This window comes from Homo sapiens, chromosome 3, assembly GCF_000001405.40.
Source record: "Homo sapiens chromosome 3, GRCh38.p14 Primary Assembly".
Classification (NCBI taxonomy): domain Eukaryota; kingdom Metazoa; phylum Chordata; class Mammalia; order Primates; family Hominidae; genus Homo; species Homo sapiens.
This window is the reverse complement of record NC_000003.12, coordinates 122,556,131-122,563,426: the sequence shown is the minus strand read 5'-3', so window position 1 is coordinate 122,563,426 and position 7,296 is coordinate 122,556,131. Positions and strand designations below refer to the sequence as shown.

At 43.3% G+C, this 7,296-nt stretch overlaps 1 protein-coding gene and 1 long non-coding RNA gene across 33 annotated transcripts in view; one reads left to right on the top strand and one right to left on the bottom strand.

The window, feature by feature from the left end:
- The window catches only part of PARP9 (poly(ADP-ribose) polymerase family member 9), a 36,861-nt gene that overhangs the window by 1,358 nt on the left and 28,207 nt on the right, over nucleotides 1-7,296 (top strand). For 15 of the 32 annotated variants that reach the window (NR_170857.1, NR_170858.1, NR_170864.1 and 12 more), the window contains exons 2-3: nucleotides 3,718-3,821; nucleotides 4,960-4,993. Coding sequence is in view for 23 of the 32 variants with exons in the window: in NM_001146103.2 (NP_001139575.1) it covers nucleotides 3,807-3,821; nucleotides 4,960-4,993 (49 nt within the window). In the remaining 9 variants the exon portion in view is untranslated. Of the gene's footprint in view, nucleotides 1-3,717; nucleotides 3,822-4,959; nucleotides 5,099-7,296 lie in introns of all 32 variants that reach the window. The other 17 variants (NR_170859.1, NM_001387875.1, NM_001387876.1 and 14 more) reach the window with 5 other exon arrangements.
- The window catches only part of LOC105374071 (uncharacterized), a 34,072-nt gene continuing 30,232 nt past the window's right edge, over nucleotides 3,457-7,296 (bottom strand). Inside the window, exon 5 of the long non-coding RNA XR_001740869.2 lies at nucleotides 3,457-3,537. This is a non-coding gene — a long non-coding RNA (uncharacterized LOC105374071). The remainder of the gene's footprint in view (nucleotides 3,538-7,296) is intronic.

Sequence of the window (7,296 nt, the reverse complement as noted above, 5' to 3'; positions counted from 1 at the left end):
TTTAGCTTGACATATCCAAAACTTAATCATTTCAGCATGTAATGAGATTTTTACATTCTTTTTATCATACCACGTCTTTGCAACCCAGTGTTTTTCTTATACTTACATCACATCTCGATTCAGACTGGCCACATGTAGCCTCAGTAGCTATGTGAGGCTGATAGTCCACCCTGGACAGGACATATTTAGATGGTGAAAAGCCTTGAAGAGCAGTGAAGATGACCTGAAGGGCTTTAAGCAGGGAAAGCAAGAAAATGACTTGCCAGATTTGCATTTTAGAAATATGGTGCTGACAACCGTGTGGAGGACACATTTACAAGCAGGGATGAGTGGCGGCAGAGAGGCCTGAGATAAGGTTTTTGCACATGGCTGGTAAGACTGGAAATGGGCCCGTCTTTACTGTGAACAATTTGGCAATACTGTCAGAATTACAACTGCATATACTTTTTGGTTCTGGAGTTCCATTTCTAGGAATTTGTCCCATTGATATATTAGCCCCTGTGTGAAGTGACCTGTGTACAAAGATGTTCTTTACAGCCTTGTTTACAATAGCAAAAGATAGGGAACTCTTTAATGCCCATAAATAGGGGGACTAGCAGTTTAATAATAATAGTATATCTATACAATGGAATACAATGGGCAGTAGGAAAAATGAAAAAGCTCTCTATGTGCTAACATGAAAAGATCTCTAGGATACATTATGTGGGAAAAATAAGATGCAGAAGTGTGTGTATAAGCTACTACCTTTCGTGTAAAAAATGCCACTGGAAGAATACAGGAGAAGCGCTGATTGACTCTGGACAGGGAATTTAGCAGCGGAGACAGGAGGAAACCTTTTACATTTTCTAAATTTGAACCATGTAAATGTAATACCTATTCAAACAATAAAATGTCAAACTAGGTACATTTAAATCTTTGAAAAGAGTATATTGATGGCTGGGCGCGGTGGCTCACGCCTGTAATCCCAGCACTTTGGGAGGCCAAGGCAGGCGGATCATGAGGTCAGGAGATCGAGACCATCCTGGCTAACATGGTGAAACCCCGTCTCTACTAAAAAAAATACAAAAAAAAAAAAAATTAGCCAGGCGTGGTGGTGGGCGCCTGTAGTCCCAGCTACTAGGGAGGCTGAGGCAGCAGAATGGCGTGAACCCGGGAGGCGGAGCTTCCAATGAGCCAAGATCGCGCCACAGCCTGGGCGACAGAGTAAGACTCCGTCTCAAAAAGAAAAGAAAAGAAAAGAAAAGAAAAGAAAAGAAAAGAAAAGAAAAGAGTATATTGCCACAGCTCAGGCAAAAGTTGCTGAGACTCTGAAGTGAGGCAGTGTCAGTGGGCGAGGAAGGAAGGGGCATATTTGAAAGTGATTTAGTTTGTCAGGTCCCAGATATGAGACAAAAAAGACTCAGGGAAAGTTCCTAGATTTCTGATTTGAGTACGTAAATGGTATTATCATTTACTGAGCTGTAGAATCCAGGAGATAAAGTATGGATTTGGTGGGGGTGGGATGGAGGATTGGGGACCAGGAGATAAGAGGTCTACTTTTGCAGAGGCTAATTTGAGGGGACTGTGAGACCTCCAGGTGGAGTTGAAAAATGGGGCTCAGGAGAGCCATGGCCTAGAACTGCAGATATAAGAGTCATATTTGCAATTGGTGAGTTGAAGCCATGGAAATGGATGAGATCACTCCTGGGGAGTATGCAGAATGAGATGAAAAACGCCTTAGACAGAATCCTGGGGCAAACAATTAAGAGGGAGATGGTGGAAGTGAACGCAGGGAAAAGGCCTGTAAAGGCAAAGTGAAGGGTAATAGAAGAACCAAGGGAAGATGGCATAGGAGAAGCCAGGAAAGCAGAATTTCAGGAATCAAAGAGTGAAATACTATAGAAAGTGGTCCAGTAAAGATGGATAGAAGATAATCCATTGGCATTAACCACATGAGGGATTCTGATGAGCAGTTTCTCTTCTTTTTTTTGAGACAGGGTCTCATTCCTCTTGCCCAGGCTGGAGTGCAGTGGCACAATCACAGCTCACTACAGCCTGAACTTCCCACCAAGTGATCCTCCCATCTCAGCCTCCCAAGTAGCTGGGACTATAGGCATGCACCAACATGGCCAGCTAACTTTTTGTATTTTTAGTAGAGATGAGGTCTTGCCATGTTGCCCAGGTTGGTCTCGAACTCCTGAGCTCAAGCAATCTGCCTGCCTCTGCCTCCCAAAGTGCTGTGGTTACAGGTGTGAGCCGCCATGCCTGGCCACTGGCAGTTTCAAAAGGGTGCTGGGAATGAGGCAGGGAGCCAGGTTATAGTAGGCTGAGTGGGCAGGTGGACAGAAGGAGAGTCCACTACTCATTCCAGAAGTTTGGCTGCTTATGAAGAGAAGGAAACACAGTAGGAACCAGTGATGGAAAGTTGGGAAGGCTTTTCTGTTTTTAAAATGGAAGAAATGGAATGCTTAGGGCACTATGCTCCTTGTTTGGCTATCCATAGGCCTGTAAAACTTGGCCTGAAGACAGAAACAGGTGCAACATTTAAAGCAAAAGCCCATGGCCAAAGCAGATGAAGTCATCCTTCTTTTTTGAAAACAGCAGTGCCCTCTGGAGGCAAAAAATGCATCTTGTCTTTGCATTTTAGAATGCAAAGGATTGTACTAGACCTGCTGCTTTCCCTTGATGAGTAAGAATAGTGCTCTGATGCTGTAGATGGTTGTACAAAATGTTTCTATTGCAAAGACATTAGAAATCATTTCGACCAGGCGCGGTCGCTCACGCCTGTAATCCCAGCACTTTGGGAGGCCGAGACGGGTAGATCACGAGGTCAGGAGATTGAGACCGTGCTGGCTAACACGGTGAAGCCTCATCTCTACTAAAAATACAAAAAATTAGCTGGGCGTGGTGGCGGGCGCCTGTAGTCCCAGCTACTCAGGAGGCTGAGGCAGGAGAATGGCGTGAACCCAGGAGGCGGAGCTTGCAGTGAGCCAAGATCGAGCCACTGCATTCCTGGGGGACAGAGTGAGACTCCAACTCAAAAAACAAAAAAACAAACAAAAAAACAAACAAAGAAATCATTTCGAGGCCTAAATATAGCAACAAGTGTGGGCAACTGTATCTTTAAGCATTTTCATCATCAGTCTTCTAAAAATTCATAATCTTTAATTCCTACCTATTAGATGGAAAATCATAACAAAGTATTTTTCCCAGATTTTCTGACTTTTAACCAGATATACCCCTATCATTAGGTCAAGGATGTTTATCACAAATTCAATAATACACCCCCCTCACAGGCTCTAGTGGCATTTCCTCTTTCTTCAAACGCTCTCCAGGGGGCTTCACTCACTCATAAGCTCGGTCTTCTTTACTGTTCTTTGAATGCTGTTCTCAGTCTCACCACTTTGTTATCACCCTCTTCTTCTAAATATGTAAAAACCTCCTGCATCCTTCATGACCAGGCTCTAGTCTCAACTCCTCCATATAGCTTTTCCTGTTCCAGGTCGTAGAGCATTTTCCCTTCTCTGAACTGCCATTATGATTTCCACTGGAACCTCTCTTGGAAAGGGTAGAAGGCAAACAGTAACAACAACAGCAAAACAATGTGTACATCGTTATCAAGGAAATTAAGAACTCATCAAGATCAGAAATCATGTTCAGTCCTCCTACAGTATATTCTTACCGAATTTCCTAAGATTCTGGCTAATGTTTATTGCATCTTTTCTAATTCATTCCTAGAAGTGGGCCACCATATCTGGAAACTACAGTCTATGCTTTGAAGCGCAAAAGGGAATAAACATTTAAAGACTCCCCCGGGGACCTGGAGGATGGACTTTTCCATGGTAAAAAGCATAAATGTGTATACGTCATGAACCTTGATCAGCACATGAATACTTCTTTATATAACAGCAAGAAATCTGGGGTGTTCACCAACAGTTGACATCCTCATCTGCTTTTAATAGCTCAATAAAGTTTTCTCCTTTCTCCCTTCTTGAGAAATGGGGAATCAAGAATATGCTAATCTAATAAATAGTGTCAACTTGAAGCTGGATGATTTTTCAGAATCATTTTAATTCTCAGCTCATTTAGTGATTCTGCTTTTTCGGGTTGGGGTAAGGAGAGTAATAGAGGATGAATGAAAAGAAGGGAATAGAGAAAGATCAGATTAGAAGTCACTTACTAAACTTGAAAATTCCACATTAAGGTTTGTACCATGACAAAGGCAATTAAAAGTGGATCCTTGCTGGTGGATGAGAGACAGAGCTGATGAGGCTCATGTCCCCAGGTCTTCTGTCTAGAGAAACCCCATGAGCTTTTGGAGATTGGAGTCTATCTGAGAGTTTGGGGTCATTTTGGTCTGTGACTTTTGGGCCTTTTAAAGTGTTGATCTCTAAACCTCATCTCATTCTGAATTAGAATGAGATGCACTGAGATGCATTGGCGGTGGCTGGCGCCTATAATCCCAGTTACTACAGAGGCTGAAGCCAGGAGGATCACTTGAAATCAGTAGTTCGAGACCAGCCTGGTCAACATAGCAAGACTCCGCTCATCTCTAAAAAAGTAAAAACAATTAGCTGGGCATGGTGGTGCATGCCTGTAGTCCCAGCTATTCAGGAGACTGAGATGGGAGGATTGCTTCAGCCCAGGAGTTCAAGGCTGCAGTGAACTGTGATTGCACCACTGCACTCCAGCCTGGGTGACAGAGTGAAACCTTGTCTCGAAAAACAATAAAATTAAATTTAAAAAAAGAAATGCATCGGCCCCTAGGGAAATGACATAGGGCCAATGTTTGCTGGCACATTTAGTATTTTAAGTGTTTCGGGCATGCAGATTTAAAAAAACACATGCTTCCTGCCCTCCCAAACACAGTGCTTTGAGCAGGATTTCCATTGCATTGTGTTTACTAGGGTGTATTGGTTATCAGTAAGCTGTAGTCATTCCACTTCCATTTTTTAAGAAAGCCATTCTCATTTTTCACAGGTGGCCGGAGCAGCAGCTTACAATGAAAAATCAGGTAGGATTACCTCGCTCTCACTCTTGTTTCAGAAAGTCTTTGCTCAGATCTTTCCTCAGTGGAGAAAGGGGAATACAGAAGAATGTCTCCCCTACAAGTGCTCAGGTGCGTGACTGCAGACCCTTGTGGGGACCCCCGCACATGCTTCAGAGTTGGTGTGGCACCGACCAGCAGGCATATTCTCTCAAGGCCTACACCATTCCTCTCCTTTGCCCGTAAATGTGAGACTCTTTTAACGACAGCCTATGGCTGAATTGACCAGATGGGGTGGCCAACTGATTGTCTCCTTGCTCAACGAGTACTATACAAGCTAAATAGTTCTGGCCTAATTCCAGGGGTCCCCCATTAAAGATTTTCAACCAAAGCTCAGGCCAATAGGGCCTGACTACCCAATTCCGGCTTCGTTTGGGTAATTGAGGCCACAAGAGGTCTTTCTAGGAGACTCAGATTAGAAATGGGAGTTGAAGCAAAATAAAAGTAATGATCACATTTTATCTATTTTAGGATGCACATTTTTTTTTCACATTTTAACAATACTGAAATAAGGTAGTGTACCTGTTATCAATTGATGGTATGCCCCAGTTTAGTTGGCATTTTTTTCCCTTTCTCAGAGGCATTGTAACAACAATATCTTAGACACCATGAAATACAGTGTCCCAAGCTGGGTCCTCCAGGAAGCAGAATTTGAGATGGAATTAGGAGTGCAAAAAATTCACTGTGAAAGGTAAAGAGAGGAAGCCGGACTGGGCAGACTAGCCATCAGACTGTAATAAAAACCCGACAGTCTCTGCAAGCCTGAGATTGACTGTTAGAGGTGTCCCACGTTGGGCATGAATGGCCTTGCTCAGCTACTGATGGAGGCTGCCCTGAGAATAGCATGACCTTGGCTGAAAGCTGAGATGAACCCTGAGGGGCTAACAGCTGGAGGCTGTCAGCTAACTGTATTTCCCACTTCATAGCCAATCGCAGGGAGATCTGAGTAGCACATCTTCTTGTCTGCCACATACGGTAAATAATTTTTAGTCAATTAGTTTTAATTTCACCAAAATTGTGCCAGACTAGAATATCATAAAGAATTATTTACTGAACTGAAGCAGACAGTATCAGTGCTCATTGGCTGGTCCAATGTCTCCCCTACTCCTCCTCACCAGGGAACTGCCTCAATCAATGACCAATAGAAGTTGGGTAGGCCAGGCATGGTGGCCTTTTTGAAGCCACCCAGGTGGGCAGATTGCTTGAATCTTTTGGAGCACTCTGGGAAATGCCTCTGAGAAAGGGGAAAAAATGCCAGCTAAACTGGGGCTTACCATCAATTGATAACAGGTATACTACCTTATTTCAATCGGCCCAGGTGGGCAGATTGCTTGAAATCAGGAGTTTGAGACCAGCCTAGGCAATATGGTGAAACCCCATCTCTACAGAAAAAAATACGGAAATTAGCTGGACACGATGGTGTGGGTGTAGTGCTGTGAGCCTGTAGCCCTGGCTACTCAGGAGGCTGAGGTGGGAGGATGGCTTGAGCATAGGAGGCAGAAGTTGCAGTGAGCCAAGACTGCATCACTACACTGCAGCCTGAGCAACACAGTGAGACCCTGTCTCAAAAGAAAAAGAAGTTGGATAAATACTCCAGCTCCTGTGGTTACTACCCCTCCAGTGGTATAACCCTGAGGCACAAGATCTACACTGTTTCCCAGTAGAGTTAAGTTCCATCTGCCTAGTTACACGTGCTTTGTTCATTTGTCTTACTTTCCCAGCCTGCCCTCCCCACCCCAAGGCCCTAGTATTTCCTAGGATCACCTCCCAAATAAACTACTTACATTCACATCTTTGTCTCAGGGTCTACTCTTAAGAAAACATAAACTTAGATGCTGACAAAGGCAAAAAAGTTATAAAACCTCCGCCTATTTTGGCTCATAATTAAGTCCCTTCCAATACCTGTGCCCTAAGCATTGGTCTTTCTAAGCTCGCCACTTTTATATATATTTTTAAAAATTCACAAGCCCCCATATACATGGTTTTCCTACCATCATCACTGCATCATAGTAACTACCACTTATGGAGTACTTAATATATGCCAGGCACAAGACTATGCACTTTATGGGTGACCTACCACTGAAAACTCTTAGATGTCCGTGGTCTAATTATATGTGTAGTTGAGAAGAAGAATCATGAAGAGCACTACATGAAGTTCATCTCTCTTTTGCACATAGGAAACACAGTCTCCTGGTATGAAGTGGGATTACAACCTTTCAAACTGTGCTTTTTTTTTTTTTTTTTTTTTTTTTTTTTTTTAATCTTCTCTT